General features: G+C 36.7%; 1 protein-coding gene across 4 annotated transcripts in view; it reads right to left on the reverse strand.

Annotated features, from left to right (window-relative positions):
- The window catches only part of ORC5 (origin recognition complex subunit 5), an 81673-nt gene that overhangs the window by 61718 nt on the left and 965 nt on the right, over positions 1 to 18990 (reverse strand). For all 4 annotated transcript variants that reach the window (NM_002553.4, XM_047420431.1, NM_181747.4 and 1 more), the window contains exons 2-6: positions 16084 to 16176; positions 12700 to 12900; positions 9667 to 9741; positions 7085 to 7196; positions 193 to 323 (exon numbers count right to left, since the gene is read on the reverse strand). In NM_002553.4, the coding sequence (NP_002544.1) occupies positions 193 to 323; positions 7085 to 7196; positions 9667 to 9741; positions 12700 to 12900; positions 16084 to 16176 (612 nt within the window). The remainder of the gene's footprint in view (positions 1 to 192; positions 324 to 7084; positions 7197 to 9666; positions 9742 to 12699; positions 12901 to 16083; positions 16177 to 18990) is intronic.

Consider the following 18990-nt stretch of genomic DNA (forward strand, 5'->3'; position numbering starts at 1 on the left):
CAGACATCTACCTTCTTATGGTATGTTAGTCTCTAGAGGCCATATGCAAATTCCCAGAATAAAATTTCAGTTTCTAACCTATCTCATACCATTTCTACATGGAAAACATTAAAATACATATATACACATATATGTATACACACACACACACACACACACATATATATATATTCAAGCAAAATGTTCATTTACCAGATGTCTGAGCTCTTTCAAATCTCGACAAACAGTGTAGAAAACTCCAAGAAGAATGTTAATGTAGGCAGCATAGAAATCAGCTGAATACTCTGGAGGATGATCATGGGACAGGATCTTTTGAAGGTTGCCTGTTCACAGGACACAAAATAACTTATAATGATTAACATAGTACACTAATCATATCTTCAAGCATTTTATAACAAAGGTATTAAAAAAAAAACACCCAGACCCAGCAACAATTAAGGAATAATAAAACTATTACAAGATTAGAATACAAAAGTGTGATTTGTGATATAATAAAAAATATATATTTGATCTTCACTGCAGTTCCTGGCACAGAGCTTCTAAAAACCCTCATAATTCCCTGAATGAGAAGGATAAGAGGAGTATCTTTTGTTACTCATAATAAGTCCTTTTAAAACATACCTCAATTTATACTAATGAGGTGTTTCTTGATGGGTGATATGGTTTGGCTCTGTGTCCCCACCCATATCTCATTTGAAATTTTCAGTGGAGGAGGGGCCTCGTGGGAGGTGATTGAATCATGAGGCAGACTTCCCCCTAGCTGTTCTTGTGATAGAGTTCTCATGAGATCTGGTTGTTTCAAAGTGTGCAGCACTTCCCCCTTCATGCTCTCTCTCCTGCTGGCCATGTGAAGATGTGTTTGCTTCCCCTTCACCTTCCACCATGATTCCAAGTTTCCTGAGGCCTCCCCAGAAGCAGAAGCCTGTACAGCCCACAGACTGTGAGTCTATTAAACCTTTTCTTTATAAATTTATAAATTACCCAGTCTCAGGTATGTTTATAGCAGTGTGAGAATGGACTAATACAGCGGGCCCCTAGATAGCTTCAGGATGGGGACTGGTTGTCAGAGGAACCAACCAAGTGATTAGAGCCCTGTATTGTCACATACACTGCTATGAAGAAATACCCATGACTGGGTAATTTACAAAGAAAAGAGGTTTAATTGACTCACAGTTCTGCATGGCTGGGGAGGCCTCAGGAAACTTACAATCATGGTGGAAAGCACTCAACAGGGCAGTAGGAGAGAGAATGAGTGCCAGCAGGGAAAATGCCGGATACTTATAAAACCAACAGCTTTCGTGAGAACTCAGTATCTTGAGAACAGCATGGGGGAATCGCACCCATGATTCAATTACCTTCCAACAGGTCCCTCCATGACATGTGGGGATTACGGGATTATAATTCAAGATGAGATCTCAGTGGGGACACAAAGCCAAACCATATCAAGGCCCCACCTCCTGTCCTTGGGAAAAGGAGAAGGGCTAAAGACTGAATCCATGACCAATGACCAATGATTTAATCAAATCATGACTATATAATGGCACCTCCATAAAAAAATCCTAAATGATGAGGTTCTGAGAGTTTCCAGGATAGTAAATATATCCACATGCTGAGAGGGTAGCACACTCCAGCCCCACAGGGACAGAAGCTCCTGAGCTTGGGACCCCACTGGTCCTTGTCCTGTGTACCTGTTCATCTGGCTGTTCATTTGTATCCTTTATGATAAATGGAGTAAGTACAGTGTTTCCTTGAGTTCTGTGAGCTATTCTAGCAAATTATCAAACCTGAGGAGGGGCTCATGTGAAACCCCAATTTATAGCCAGTTTTCTGGAGTACAGGTAGAAACCTGGGACTTAGAATGGTGTCTGAAATGCTAATATTCTTGTAGGACTAAGCCCTTAACTTGTGAGGTCTGCACTAACTTCTGGTAGTTAGTGTCAGAAGTGAATTGAATTTTAGGACACCCATTTGATATCTAGAAAACTGAAGAATTTGTTGTTGGGTGAACAAAAATACCCCACACATTTGGTGTCAGAAGTGTTTTGAGTAAAAATACTTCTGAAAAAGTAAATCACAATTTTGAAACTGAGGGTAAAAAAAAAATTATTAAATACTAAGACAAATAGAAAACAATGACATCTAAAGAAAATCTCAACAACCTTATTACCGGCAAAATCAGTAACAAGGGAAAAAATACTGTAGATTCTAGTTTATTTTTCTTCCTATTAAGTAAATCAACTAGGAAGAAAAAGGGGATAGTACATAAACTGCCAACAAACTAGAAAATGCTCTTCATGTTTTATAAAATGAAAAGAATTAATCTTTTTTTACAATAATCATCACCTGATCCTAGTCCTTACTTTGTTATTCCCCCTTGTATAAAACGTATTTTCTCCCTACAACTTTGATATCTTTACTCTACTTCTATTATATCTCAGACTCTTTATAAAATACCACATTAAGAGTCCTAACCTTATACTTTATCCTGCTGGAAATAATCATATTTTAGAAACACAGTAAAATTTAAAGGGAAACAACCATATATTATTCAAAATTTCCCAGTCATAATACAGGAATCAATTAGTCATTCATTCCTTATTGTAAGATCCTCTGACTTCTTGGTGCAATGCTCTCCTTAGACTTCTTAGTTAAGAGCTCTTTGCATATGACTACAACTTTAAACCTAGTTCCAGAGGGCTCAAGTTTTTTGCAAAAATTACAAGGAAAAACTCTTCCAGGATATTCTAATCATGTCAATTTCCTTTTGTTTAAGGTTCCCAGTAAGTTAGTATTTTTAGCCAGGCCATTTACCATTGGCCCTTGATTTTAACCACTCTTGTGCCTGCCAATCAATTAGATGCAGGTACAAGATCAAAAAATATATATGAACTATCTGAAAATTTATAAACAGAAGTTTAGAAATAGCTCTATTAAGGAATATTTAAACACAGAAGTTGACAAAAAAAATTTCAAAGCCTAGTTTTATACTTAGAATATTAGCCTGAATGGATACTAGATGAGACACTGTTACTGAATTTGCTTTTTTATTTCAAAACTGCTGAAAAAAAAAAAAAAAGCCAAAACTTCCCTGTAGAGTCCATGTACTTTTACATTCTAATAGCAAACTTTAAATATAATGTCACTAAGTTTTTTTAACTAGGCATGGGGAAATAGTTAATATACTGAAAATTTCTAAAAGGTACCATAAAACTTAGAAACAAAGATATCTACCTATAAAACCTACCAAATAACTGGATGGATGTAAGAAAAGAGAGATGGAAGGAAGAGATAAATGATCACAGAGATTAACATACATAAAGCAAAACAACAACAACAACAAACTTCTATAAATGAATGGCTAAGAAAATCTGGAAAACAGTTGAGTCTCCAGCTCAGACTGCACTTCTGAGTACCCCTTGAACATCTCCATCTAGGTATTCCTTACAGGTAGCCCTCTGTATCCCATAAGACAGTTGATTAGATGTTATCACCGGCCGATTTCAGCCCTGATGAAAGTCTTATAAGAATAGGAATCCTCACTGTGTTGCTGTAAAAGTAACCTAGCAACTTGTTTATAGACTACAGACAAAAATCTCAGAGTATAATTCTATAATAAGCAAGTCATGCCAGCTCTAACAGTCTAGGACTATTCAAATTCATTAAAAAAAAATCCCATCTATAATAGAAAGCTGAAAACAGTGTATCATGAGGTAGTAAACAAAGGGTAGGAGAAACCCACTGGTTGTCTCCTTGGGTCTTAAAATTTCACTATCCAAGTATAGGCTAATGTGCAAAGAAAAGCCATTCCTACCTTGGAGAGAGACTTCTGCTTCCAGTTGTGAGGGAGTAGGAACATCCAGAAATACCCTCCTCTAATAATCAATTAAAAACTGGACACACTATAGAAAACAACTATTTTTAAATATCAAACAAATGGCAGTAACGGACCGTAATACCTGAGAAAAGGTAAACAAATAAGGTGAGTCCTACCATCAGCCAGGCTTTCTAACAAGAAGTAATTTTAAGACTGTGGTACAAGGAGACTTTCAAAAGGAGCTCATTTATCCTACTGAGTTGAGGAGACAGAGACCAGAGCTGAGGGAGCTGAGGTAGCTAGAATTTGCAGGGCAGAGTACCTGAGGGGAGGAAGCTATGCCAAAAAAGAGCTCCAGAAATCTGTACAGGGGTTCCCCTCAAGTCTTAGCTTAATACCAATCTGTGTATGCATAGGGTAAAACCCTAGCCATGCAAGAACAACTTTTAGGGAAAAAACAATTATTGGAGAGCTATATGTCAATTCCCAGAAATCACACAGGGCTGTGAATTTTTCATGTTGCCACTAGTCAGAAGGCAGAGACCATGCTAAACATACAGGGCATTCAGTAGAGATTCCAGAAAAACTATGTCTTAGAAGTAGAGCTAAAATTAGCCCTGGAATAATGGCTACTCTGGATCATCTCTCCAAAAAAAGCTTAAAAATAGCCTTAAAAGGGTCAACTGTATCTGTAAGTAATTAAAAATGCTAATGAGAAAAAGTCCAAAACACAACAAAAAGCACAATGTCTATAATTCTATCAAAAACTACTAGACACATGAAAAAGCATAATGGATACCCAAGATGGAGAAAAATTACTCGGTGGGAACAAACCCAAAACAAAAGAGGTAACTGAATTAGTACACAAGAAAATTAAAACAACTATCATAAGTATGCTCATATGCTCAAGGATACAAAAGAAAACAAAAGCATAATGAGATCAGTAATGAAATATTCTACAGGATTAGATTAGCTGCCCACTAGACACTTGTTAAAAAAAAAAAAAGAAGTCAGTGAACTGAAAGATATAGAAACAAAAAACAATCCCAAATAAAACACACACACACACAGATTTAAAATTTAAATAAACAGACTTTCAGTGGGACAATATAAAGTGCTCTAACATAGCTATAATGCAATCCCACACAAAAAAGATAGAGAAGAAAAGGTGAGGGGGGCAGACAAAATATTTGAAGAAACACTGCCTGAAATTTTTCCAAAGCTGATGAAACTATACACCCACAGACTTAAGAACTCAACAAATCCCCAGCAGGATAAACAATAAAAGTTATTTTCTTTTTTGTCCTGTTATTTTTTAAAGCCAAAATAATAATATTTAATATCTGAGGTTTATAATAATAGTTGAGGTTTTATAATTAATATAGTATTACATGGTTTATAATAAATATAGAAGTAAAATGTAAGACAACAGCAGTACAAATGTTCTTAGGTAGGAAACTGTAAGTCACTGAAATTTCAGATTGTTATCAGAACATAACTTAATCTATCCAAACTGACACAATAACTAAACCAAAAACCTAATCAAATGCATTATAATCTCTCTAAAGAAAAAATATCCATCATTGAAAGATGAGTAGTCTGCATGAGGTAAAGACCAGAAAACGACTTCCAAACTGGGCTCCTAGCCATAACTGCTAAGAGGAGAGCGGTCCTTAAAATCAGACACCATATTCCTGAAAAGGACATGTTTCAAGTTATTACGACAAGGTAACACTAATCACTTAGATAATCTCTTTGCCCTGGTTCCACACTTAACCATAATTTCAACTTATCAATTAATATTCCCCTTCTGAATGGCTTTTTGTCTGACTACAGTGTTTTTGCTTAAAAAAAAAAAACAAAACTGAATATGTAAAACCCCCTAAAATTTAATAATCAGAATTTAACTTGGCTCCATTATTATATACTTTGCAAAAATCTATTATCCTATACTCACTAAAATTAGTAAGACCATTTTATTTACTTTTGTCCTCAAACTTTCATCTATGCTGCTTTGTATCTTTACTTTTTAAATTTTAAATCTATAAATTTAAATTATAGAATTTTAAAAATTTAATTCTGTAATTACTTACATTAATTCAACTTGACTGAAATGTGTAATATCAACATTTTTTAATAATTTTCTTAAATTCTAAATAATTTTTCAGTACTTAAAATGGGTCATGAAAAACTGAACTATGAACAGTGCTGACACAGGTACAGAGCCTTTTTTTTTTTTTTTTAAATAAAATCCTTTATCACTTTTCCTCTTACCCTTTTTTATTTTGGGATTTTTATGGATGAGAAATTAATGACAATAAAGACTCCATCTATTTTGGGTTGCTGTTTAAAAAAAAACTCAGCTAATTGGCTATGACAGAAGGTGTTATTTCACTGCTGTTCTGGTGGAAACAGACAAAAATGTGTTAATCTTAAGGTATGTTTACAGCTGATTAGTTCAGAGGGATAGTGTTAATGAGGCCAAGGTCATGGAATGCTATTTTTTTATAGACTGCTAACCATCTTATACTTCACAGTTATAATCTCTGAATCCCAAGTATCATCTCTGTATGACAGCCCAGTCTTAATCCACAAAGCTATTCAGCAACACAAAAAGCTATTGTGTTCTTCCAAAGACCAAAATCATCAGGATCTATGAAATTTAAGATTAAATAGAGCCCCCAAGAAAATAAGAAACACAAGGGCTGGTAATTGGTACTGTATGAGTTACAGTAAAGAAAATGAGATTTATAAAATCAAAAGATATAAGCGCAACATGGTACTTAACCCAAGTATATGGTAAATGAAGATTTCAACACTCTTAATATGCTTTACAAGTCTAGTCTGATTATTCGTACAGATGTCATAATCACAATATAAATATACATCTTAATGTAGTGACTAAAAAAATGAAGATACATTAGCACAAATATGAGAGCTGCTCATCCAAAAAAATGTAGTAATTATACAATAACCTCTCACAGTTCCAAAATAAAAATTTTGTAAGTGCAGAAATACAAACATCTTATTTGAGATTGGCAGCAAACCTTAACAGTTTAATACTTTGATATTCCCATTTGAATGGCAATAATACTTTGATATTCCCATTTCAATATCAAATTCCCATTTGAATATCAAATTTATAATTCCCATTTGAATATCAAATGGGAATAACAAAGTATTCCCATTTGAATATGCTAGTTTAATCTTTCAAACAACAAAAACTATTCTCCTGCATATCATTTGCCAAAACAATGTTTTAAGGTTTACCTATGCTGTAATCAGGGAAATATAAGACAAACGGCTCAAAGCATCCAGTATTTGGACGAAACTTTTCCCAAACAATTTCACTGAGAAAGAGAACAGTCACATTTCTGTCAGCCTGTAAAAAGAAAGAAATAAAAGTAACTTCGCATTTAAAAATCTTAATCGGAGCAGTATTTCCATTTGGATTTTTCTTTCAAATACATCCCCCCAGAGTTCTAACCTATAACAAATTATTTGCATATTAATAAACCATATTTAGAAAACCTAATCAAGGAGCTCATTCGTTTGCAAACTGTCACACATCCAAGCTGGAGTGCAGTGGCATAATCACAGCTCACTGTGGCCTCAACCTCCTAGGCATAAGTGATCCTCCTATACCTCTCAAGTAGCTGAGGCATGTGCCACCATGCCCAGCTAAATTCTGTATCTTTTATAAAGACAGGATCTCTGTATGTTGCCCAGGCTGGTCTTGAACTCCTGGACTCAAGCGATCCTCCTGCCTCAGCCTCTCAAAGTGCTGGAATTATAGGCATTAGCCATCATATTGGATCTGATTTTTTAAGAATCTCTGAATTTATTTCTAGAGGGGTAAAATAGCATGCCCTAATCACATTCCTAATAACAAATTATTGAATTGTTTTTGCTATAAAAATATGATTATCTAAAAGCATTTTATAAAATCAGTTTAAATATATTGAGAGGCTTAAAAGAAGAAGATATTTATTGGGCAGAAAGATTTTAAATTGGTAATGTTCTCATCTATTCATCTGATAAGTACTTTCAGTATACATGATATCCACCATATTTTAAACTTCCCTTTACTTAGATAAATACTTAACATAAAAAAATGAGAAATGCTTTTGCCAGATTTCTCTTAAATGAAATACATTTTTAAAAATCAAGCATGTTTGCAGAAATGTCAAAGCAATTCTCTTTTCCAGTTCAGCTGAGATTACTCTAAATCTTTTAATTTTCTTCAAACAGTTTCTGTAATTGAAACTAAAAAACGGTGAAAAGTCCTAATTGTTGTGAAGGGATGCATGATCACCATTACTGGGCATAAGGAGGAAAAAACAGGGTGATCTACACTGAAAAGGCAAGAAGACAATACTGCACTCTGGATACCAGATGGTGAGTTCTAGAGCAAAGCAACAGGAAATAGTGGATGAGTATGCGAAAACCCACAAATACAAATGAAACAAATAAATAAAAGGAAAGGAAATAGGAAATGAGTAGACATCTACTCAAAGAAGATAGATCTTGAGTCTCAGTAATAAAATGTCAAGAGTTAATGAAACAAAGAAAAGCAAGACTGTGTGAGGTTAACTTCCAGAATAGGCCACCAATAGCTACACTTATTATCCTGTCCTCTCTATACCTCTCGTCCCTCAACTATTACTAAAAGTAAACTTCAGGAGTCAGCCTTGGGCACACAGTAATTTCAGTGGCCTCTCTAAACTTCCAGCAGATTCTCAAATTTGAGTAATGTATTTAACTTTGAAAGGCAGAAATGCTTTAAGCACTTCTCCCCAAGTATTTACTTTATTATAATATTACTTAATACTTTAATACATACAAACATAAAATTAGGTAGGTATAAACTGCTTATACTCAAAGCACTTACAAAATTATAAAACCAAAATAAATTTATAAATACGAACTATAAAACCAATAAAATTGAAATTAATATTAACTGAATATATTGAATAGTATTGTTTTGCTCAAACTAAATCTTTATTCCCTTTATGAATACGGTGAATATGGTTTCACCTGGAAACAACCACAGCTATTTCCCTCACCAATTTTCCTTATTCAAACTATTACAAAACCCTGTTTCATCTGTGATATTATTTGGCTTTCACCTGACACAAATGCCTAGTAAGTCCGCCCCTGTCCTTTTCTTATTGGGCCATGACATTCACAGTAGAATTAATTAGTAACCCTTCGCTTAATATTGTTGATAGGTTCTGGGAAACTGTGACTTTAAGTGCAACATATAATGAAACCAATTTTTTTTCCTCAACAATGTTATAATGAAATGATGCTGAAGGTAAGGAAGAACCTGCTGTAGGCTAGTTCACTTAAAGTTGCAATTTCCAAGAATCTACTGAGATGTTAAGTGAGGACTTACTGTACTTTGTGAAGCCAACACAAGAGTAAACTGAAATACAAAAGTAAACTCTGACACTGAGTGATTATAAGGTAGAAATCCAGATGATCCAGAATAGCCATGCTATTCTTATTTTAGATTATCCTTATTTTGAAATGCAAAGAAAATTTTAAAATCCTTGAGATTTTAAAGTCTGGCCCTCTGCCATTTATTCTAGCAACATCTAAAACTTTTAATAGAAAGCAGTGACTTCATAATTACAGAGAAAAAGCTAAAATAATTGAAGAATAAATGCTATCAAATCACCAACTGATTTTACTATGAAAAAAACACTGAGCTTTACTGATAAAAGAAATGCAAACTAAAATTATATTAAAATACTAATTCTCACCTATCAAATAGCAAAATGAAAAACTTTTACAACACAATCCATTGATTAAGTTGTGGGGAGAAAGCACTTTCTCACATTACTTACCAATTCTTGTAATCTAAGAAATCCAGGCAAAAGATTTGCTTCCATATCTCTTAGATACTCTGCTTTATCTAGAACCTTTAAAAAACAAAAAAACAAAACAAAAAGAAATGCATTTACAAAGCCTTTACAAAATGACATGATTTGACTATGTCCCCCAAAGTTCATGTGTTGGAACTTAATCCCCAGTGTGGCAGTATTGGGAAGAGAAGCTGCATAAAAGATGATTAAGTCATAAGGGCTCTGTCCTCATGAATGAATTAATATTGTTATCAAGGGAGTGGGTTATTGAGAGAATGGCTTTATTATAAAAGGGACTTCTGCCACCTCTTGCTCTCACTCTCATCCTCTCTTGTACTTCTACTTTCATCATGAGAGGAGGCAGCAAGAAAGCCCTTGCCAGATGCAGGGACCTCAACCTTTGACTTCCTAACCTCCACAACTGTGAGAAATAAATGTCTTTTCTTTATAAATTACCCAGTCCTTGGTAGTCTGTTATAGCAACTGAGTAATAGGCAGAGGTTGGAACAGGATGGAGGGCTCAGAAGACAGGAAGAAATGGGAAAGTTTGCAACTTCCTAGAGACTTGTTAGATGGCTTTGACCAAAATGTTGATAGTGATATGGACAATGAAGTACAGACTGAGGTGGTCATAGATGGACATGAGGAACTAATTGGGGACAGGGAATAAAAGTGACTCTTGCTATGCTCTAGCAAAGAGAAGGGTGGCATTTTGCCCCTGCCCTAGAGATCTGTGGAACTTTGAACTTGAGAAAGATGATTTAGGGTATCTGGTGGAAGAAATTTCTAAGCAGCAAAGCATTCAACAGGTGACCTGGCTGATTCTGAAAGCATTCAGTCATATGCATTCACAAAGAGATTATCTAAAACTGGAACTTACATTTAAAAGGGAAGCAGAGCATAAAACTTTGGAAAATCTGTGGCCAGACCATGAGGTAGAAAAGAAAAAACCCATTTTCTGGGGAGAAATTCAAGCCAGCTGCAGAAATGTGCATAAGTAACAAGGAGCCAAATGTTAACAGCCAAGACAACGGGGAAAATGTCTCCAAGGTCTTCACGTGGCAGCCCATCCCATTACAGGCCCAGAGGCCTAAGAGGGAAAAATGGTTTTGTGGGCCAGGGCCTTGCTGCTTTGTGCAGTCTCGGAACTTGGTGTCCTGCATCCCCACTCATGGCTAAAAGGGGCCAGCGTATAGCTCAGGCTGTTGCTTCAGAGAGTGCAAGCCCCAAGCCTTGGCGGCTTACATGTGGGGCCTGCAGGTGCACAGCAATCAAGAATTAACGTTTGGGAACCTCTGCCTAGATTTCAGAGGATGTACAGAAATGCCTGGATGTCCAGGCAGAAGTTGGCTGTAGGTGCAGGGCCCTCATGGAGAACCTCTACTAGGGCAGTACAGAAGGGGAATGTGGGGTTGGACCCCCCCTACAGAGTCCCCACTGGGCACTGCCTAGTGGAGCTATGAGAAGAGGGCCACCATCCTCCAGACCCCAGAATGGCAGATTCAACAGCTTGCACTGTGTGCATGGAAAAGCCACAGATACTCAACGCCAGCCTGTGAAAACAGCAGAGAGGGCAACTGTACCCCGCAAAGCCACAGAGGTGGAGCTGCACAAGGCCATGGGAGCCCACTCTTGCATCAGTGGGCTGGATGTGAGGCATGGAGCCACAGAGGTCGAGCTGCATGAGGCTGTGGGAGCCCACTCTTGCATCAGTGGGCTGGATGTGAGGCATGGAGTCAAAGGAGATCATTTTGGAACTTTAAAGTTTAATGACTGCCTTATTGGATTGCAGACTTTCTTGGGGCCTACAGCCCCTTTGTTTGGGCCAATTTCTCCCATTTGAAAAGGCTGTATTTACCCATTGCCTGTATCTCCATTGTATCTAGAAAGTAACTAACTTACTTTTGATTTTATAGGCTCATAGGTGGAAGGGACTTGCCTTATCTCAGATGAGACTTTGGACTTGGACTTTTGGGCTAATTAAGCTGGAATGAGTTAAGACTTTGGGGGACTATTGGGAAGCCACAGTTGACTTTGAAATGTGAAACCGACATGAGATTTGGGAGAGGCCAAGTGTGGAATGGTGTGGTCAGGCTTTGTGTCCCCATCCAAATCTCATCTTAACTTGTAATCTCCATAATCTCCATGTGTCAAGGGAGAGACCAGGTGGAGGTAAATGAATCTTGGGGGTGGTTCCCCCATGCTGTTCTTGTGATAGTGAGCTCACATCTGATCTGACGATTTTATAAGGAGCTTCTCCTTCCTTCTACTTTGTGAAGCAGGTGCCTTGCTTCCCCTTTGCCTTCTGCTGATTATAAGTTTCCTGAGGCCTCCCCAGCCACGCTGAACTGTAAGTCAATTAAATCTCTTTCCTTTATAAACTATCCAGTCTTGGGTAGTTCTTATCCAATTCCAAAGATGATCATTTTAACATGTCTTCAGAGTAACCAGGCATATTTGTTGCTCTAAAGTCTTTACTATCTCCTATCCACTCCCTAAGAAATTAAATGAAGTGCTTTAGTATAGTTTTCTAGACCTTCCACAATCTGCCCAACCTATCTTCCAGTCTTCTTTTTCTCCCGTCATACTTTATAACCCACTAAAACTAGACTATTTGGTACTCTCTGGCCTCCATTTTCAGCTGCATGCCTTTACTTATATAATTCTATCTGAAATTCCTCTACTTCAATTTCTTCCTAGAATACTCTGATTCATTTAGGTCTGTCTCAAATGCTAATACCTCATGAAGCTGTATTGGACACACACAGTCAATATTTTGCATCTGGTGACAATCACTTATCACATTCTGCATGTAGTCGTATGTATGTGTCATACCTTTTCTATTAAATGAAGCTTCCCTTGGATAAGGAATATATTTAATACATTTCTGTATACTAAAAGCACCTGGCACAGAGCACTGTACATAATGAGACTCAAAACAAATATATGAAAATTGATCTAATAAATTATCAGTTTTCAAGATAAGAGATGATCTAATCAAATGAAATTACTTACAATATATACAGTCTGATCTTTAAGATTTTCAGCTGTGGTTACTTGTTTAAACAAGCGAACAAAGTCATTAAATGTTTCACAGGTTATTTCAGTAGAACATCCATCCTCTGAAGAACTAAGATGATTCAATTTGTTTAAAATTTGTTCCAAAAGCAGCCTCAATGTAAAGCATTCAACACAATTCACAAACACATGTGGGAGCTGAAAACGAAAACCAAAACACTGTAAGTAAAGAAGAAAACACACAAACACAATAATGGCTGTGCTGGATAGTCTCCATTTGCCTTTCTAAATCTATATCCCACCAAACCCACCCCATGCCCCAAGAGCCTGACAGCTACAGAATTACATCACCTGGACTCTCTTATTTTCTGTCTCTGGATGGAGAAGCCAATGGAAAGAACCAGCAGGAGACTAAGGGAGAATGGTGGGAGAGAAGTTTGGATATTGATTTCCTTGACTCCCACCATGACCCCTCAGTGGCCCTAGCTTGGCAGTGGATACTCTTCTACCAAAGATCAAGTTGGACAGCCCCTCTTCTAAGGCTACACCTCTTGTTTGGTTCCAATAACAGCTCCTTTCTATGGTCCCTTCAGGCCTGGAGGTGGTAAAGGCCCTGGTGTACCATCATCCCTTAGTGATTCCCATAAAATTTCCATTATAAAACTGTCCCTTCATTAAACTCACTTCAATTATTTCTTTCAGCTTGCCATTTCTTTCTTATGGAAATTCAAAGCAAATTTGTATTTTCCTATAAAGAATTCTTATAAAGAAATCAGCCAGGCATGGTGGATCATGTCTGTAATCCCAAGGCTTTGGGTCAGGAGTTCCAGACCAGCCTGGGCAACATAGCGAGACCCTGTCACTATTAAAAAAAAAAAAAAAAGAAAAGAAATCTAAGCATATTTGAATGTTAAAAATCTTAATAGGAATTTCACACTTATAACTTTAATATAATATCCTTGAATAAACGTTTACTAAGTCAAAAAAAAAAAGAATTTTAAGAGTTAGAAACCATAGCAATCCTCCTACGAGGACTGTAAGCACTAGCTCTTTGCTAGGCATATGGCTCCTGCCTGTAATCCCAGTGCTTTAGGATGGGTGGGAGGATCATTTGACCCCTGGAGTTCAAGATCAGCCTGGGAAACACAGTGAGACTCTGTCTTTAAAAAAGTAAAAAAAATTAGACAGGCCTGGTGGTGCACATCTATAGTCCCAGCTACTTGGGAGGCTGAGGTGGAAGTATCACTTGAGCCCAGGAATTCATGGCTGCAATGAGCTATGATCATAACACTGCACTCCAACCTGGGCAATAGAGCAAGACCCCATTTAAAAACAAAACAAAACAAAAAAAACTAGCCCTTCATTTAAAAAACTATCAAAATATCAACATGAGTTAACTCCAGAAGTAATAAGGTCACAAACGAGACTTGCTCACCAATACAGTCTATCCTCAAAATAAGATCACAAAAGCAGATTCATTCTGAGGAAGATAACTTGTGGCACTTGGCACAAATAATGGAACTGGTAACTATTTTTAGTGATTTTATAAACTTTATCCAATAAGGAGGCTTTTCTTTCTCTGAATAACAGTGTCACTAAAGCCACATTAAACTTACTTGGGGACAGTTTCACCAGCATTTGCTAACTCACTTCTCTCTCACTCCTTTACTGTCCTTTAAGAACAAAAGTCCACAACATCTCTGTTATGAATAGTGTCTTGCTTACGGCATTTGTACCATCCATGACTTTTAAAGGCAGCATATTCTAAGTGCCTGTCTGAGTCCCTGTATCAGAAGTAGTAACAATAATCATATATTACACTGATTAAGTAACAGCAGAAACTACAGTGTGATAAAAAATGGAATACAGTCCTTAAATATGAAACTTCCTTACTGGGTTTTATTGCTTTTATTCAACATATATTTTGGGGGCACTTCATTCAGGGGGTTCTGAAATGCAAATGCCTGGACCAAGACCTTGTACACTCAGATTCTGAAGTCCAGTATATAGCCCAGGCATATGTGTTTTTTAAAATGCACAGCTGATCTTTGAGATCAAAAGCTGAAATCTACAACTTAATAAGCTGAAATCCACAAGTTAATACGTGCCAAGTAATGTGCTTGGTGCTGGGGATAATTTCAAGAAACTCACAATCTAAAGCCAGGGAAACATAAACACAAAATCATAGCTGAGAAGGCTAAATATTATGACAGAATTAAGCACAGGGTGCTAAGGTTGCAAAACAGGGGGGCATCTGATACAGCCTAGAGGATCAGGAAAGACCTTGTAGAGTATAAGTAGAAGAAAACCTGGCAAAATAAATAAGCATTTGCCAAGCAACAGGAAGAGCGAGTACAGGAAAGCCATTCCAAGTAGGGGAGCAACATGTGCCATGGCTTGAAAGTAAGACAGCAGGAACTGTACACAGTTCAGTATGCTATCCTAAACGTGCATCCTCAGTGCTAGAGGAGGACGGGGTTAGCAAGCCAAAGCCTGTGGGCTAGCCACCTGTTTTTGTACATACTGTTGCTTTGAAACACAGTCATGCCCATTCACATAGAGAATGCCCATGGCTGCTTTCACAATACAGTAGAGTCAAGCAGGTGAGACAGAAACTACGTGGTCCACAAGCACAAAATGTTAGTTATCCGGCCCTTAAGAAAAAGACTGCCCATCTCTGGTTTAGGATATGAAAGGGAGTATGGCAATACTCATCAATAATAGCAGCTAACCTTTATTGAGTGCTTACTACGCACTATGTACTGCAGAAAGCACTTTCCATGTGCTAACATTTAATTCTCTTAATCCCAAATGTTGTCACTATGAGCCAACTTTGCAGATGGAGAAAGCACTAACTGGTGAATCCAAAAAGGAACATGAGTCTGCCAGACTCCACAGCCCAAACTCTTAACCACTGTGTTATGAAAGATAAATTCAGCTCATGAAAGGTCTTATACAATGGGCGAATTACTTGAACACTGTCCTGAAAATATTAAGATTTGCATGGCCTAGCTGCTGGGTGAAGATTGCAAATAAGAGGCTTACAGAAATACATGGAAAAAAAACAATGGTAAATGAAAATCCTAGCAGCAATGGCTAGGATTAAAGGTAGATGGAGACATGATTTTAACAATGTGAAGCAACAGACTAAGTTTATTGATGTGATTTACTAAATGAGGGAAGATGAGGAAAGAGTTAAGAAAGTGCAAGTTTGGACAACTGTGTCAATGACAGTAGACCATTCATGGAGAAAGATAATATGGGAAGGAGAGTAATGTAAAGGTGGTATGTTCAATTTTGCATTTGTGGAGATTCACAATTATCAGTACCAATATTATACACTAAAAATGGCAAAGAAATATTTAATATTTTTATTCTTACCTCTAAAGTTTTCAACAACGTTTGTGTTACATAGGTCTTTCCACTAGCAGTATGTCCATAAATAAAAATGGATGGAAAGCTGAAATGATGTCTCTAACGAGAGAAAAGACAAATATGAGGCTGCACATACAAAATAGAAAATAAACACTTATCAACTTGTGAGAAAGTTGTACGTGGAAAAGTGAAATATTCAATCCAAATTCCTAACAATGAGCATATTGTGGATGCATCAACACACTTTGAACCTACTTGAATTCAACTCTAAGCACTTTCTTTGTTATGAAATTAAAATGTATGTAACATATTTGGCATATTTTATTATGTACTATATATTTATATTTTTATTATCGTACAGGTTTACATATACAAACTAGTATTTTCAACTTCATAGCAGATTTAAGAGATTTTTCAAGGATAATTTTGTTCATACTCCATTTTTATATTACTCCTTCTTAAAGACTCTTATCTCCTGCGATGCCACAACTTCACTATACATTTTAATGCTATGAAATAAAGTACATATAATCAAAAGATTAAAAGGAATTTCAAGGGTCCTCATTCTTAGGAAAACTTATAGACTACTTCTGAACTATGCATACTCACTGATGCTGGCATAAATGCATACATTAGATCACATAAAACACTAATAAAATCTGCATAGCATTTATTTTAAAATACATATGTGCAAGATCCTCTTGCAGTACATTAGGTTAGCAGCTTAGAGAAAAGTAAATATTGTCAAAGGTCTCTCTGGTCTAGTTAATACTACAAATACTTGTACTTCATTCCTTAAATGAACGCTTTCATTAGATACCTACTAAATGCTGAAAACCATGAGGTACTGAAGAGAACAAATAACAGTAAAAGACATTATCTACTTTGGAGGAAATTATAGTCTACATTTTTAAAATAATTACGGGAAAACTTGATTTTTTAATAATACTCTTTTTTTTTTTTTTTTTTTTTGAGATGGAGTCTCACCCTGTCACCCAGGCTGGAGTGCAATGGCGTGACCTCGGCTCACTTCAACCTCTGCCTCCCGGGTTTAAGCGATTCTCCTGCCTCAGCCTCCTGAGTAGCTGGGATTACAGGTGTGTGCCACCACACCCAGCTAATTTTTGTATTTTTAGTTAAGACGGAGTTTCACCATGTTGGTCAGGCTGGTCTCAAACTCCTGACCTTGTGATCTGCCTGCCTCAGCCTCCCAAAGTGCTGGGATTACAGGTGTGAGCCACTGTGCCTGGCCTATTTTTTAATAATACATTTTTTTAAATAATTACAAGAAAATGGGATTATGCAATTTCTATCAGAAAGTTAAGTCTCTATTAATTATCATCGATTACAGCAACAGTCACAAACATTTATTACATTCAAGTCACTAAGTTAAACATTTCCTTTTACAAGACAAATCAGGAACTCAGATTTACGCAGGAAAAAGACTTTCTAAATGGCATACAGCTATGGCAAAAGCAGCTCAACTGCTAAAAATAGACTAAAAATTTACTTGAAATGAATAGGTAATGTAATACATGAATCTTTTTCTGAAGTTTATATGTAACAATCATAAATTAACTGGCCCAAAAATTCTGTCTCAGCAGGATGCAGTGGCTCAAGCCTGTCATCCCAACACTTTGGGAGGCCAAGGCAGGCAGATCACTTGAGTTCAGGAGTTCGCCTGGGAAATACAGTGAAACCCCATCTCTACAAAAAACACAAAAATAGCCAGGCTTGGAGGCAAACACCTGTGGTCCCAGCTACTCGGAGGCTGAGGTGGGCGGACTGCTTGAGCCTGGGAGGCAGAGACTGCAGTGAGCCAAGATCATGCCACTGCACTCCAGCCTGGGAAAGAAAGCCAAACCCTGTCTCAAAAAACAAAAACAAAAAATTCTGTCTCAAGAATTAAATGCATGTTGCTGAGTATCTCTGCTATCCATTACATGTTGTTGCCTAATAATACCTTAAACATCTTTTCTATTGTGACCTAGAATTATATTGAACTGTTCCACTGTTATTTAACCTTTCACCTTCATAAATCTCGCTAACATAAACTGCAATAAGCTAGTACCTGACACAGAAAAGGTGCTCGGTAAATATTTATTTATTGAACAAATAAATGAGTATTCTTAGAAACATGAACCAATTTTTTATATTTCTTTGCTATAGTTGTTTGTATTTCCCACATGCACAGCACCTTGCAGAAAACTGATATTAAAATATTGTTAAACATAATTTTCATTAAAAGCAAAGGTCAAAAACTCTTCTGTGATCCACCACTAAGTTTACTCATCCCTATTTGCCAATTTGCTCTTTCAGCAGGAACATTTCTGGCTGGAGTGATCTGCGTTCCATAGATGAAATGCAGAGAACATAATCAAGAAAATGCTCCAGTAATAATATAACTATAATTGAAAGCAGTATAAATAGAAAATTAATTGAAGATGCAGTTGTTGACCTCTAACTTCCCTAAATAATGCACCCCTTTAGACAGAGGGTAGTACTTTTCCACTAATGCTTCACAGGCCACCTCAAATTGCCATGCAATATTTCTAGTTGGATGAAAGTACAGTCACGTGTACATTCAAAGATGGACCACATATACAACAGTGATCTCATAAGATTATAATACCCTATTTTCACTGTACCTTTTCTATGTTTAGACACTTTTAGATGCAGACTTATCACTGTGTTACAACTGCCTACAGTATTCAGTATAGTAGCACCGCTGTAGAGGTTTATAGCCTAGGAGGAACAGGCTACACCATACAGCCTAGGTGTATAGCAGGCTACACCATCTAGGTTTGTGTAAATACACTTTCTGATATTCACAGGGATTAAATTGCCTAACGATGCATTTCTCAGGACGTATCCCCCTCACTAAGTGGCAGCAACGCATGACTGTACTTAAAA

The sequence above is a fragment of the Homo sapiens genome, chromosome 7, assembly GCF_000001405.40.
Source record: "Homo sapiens chromosome 7, GRCh38.p14 Primary Assembly".
NCBI classification, from domain to species: domain Eukaryota; kingdom Metazoa; phylum Chordata; class Mammalia; order Primates; family Hominidae; genus Homo; species Homo sapiens.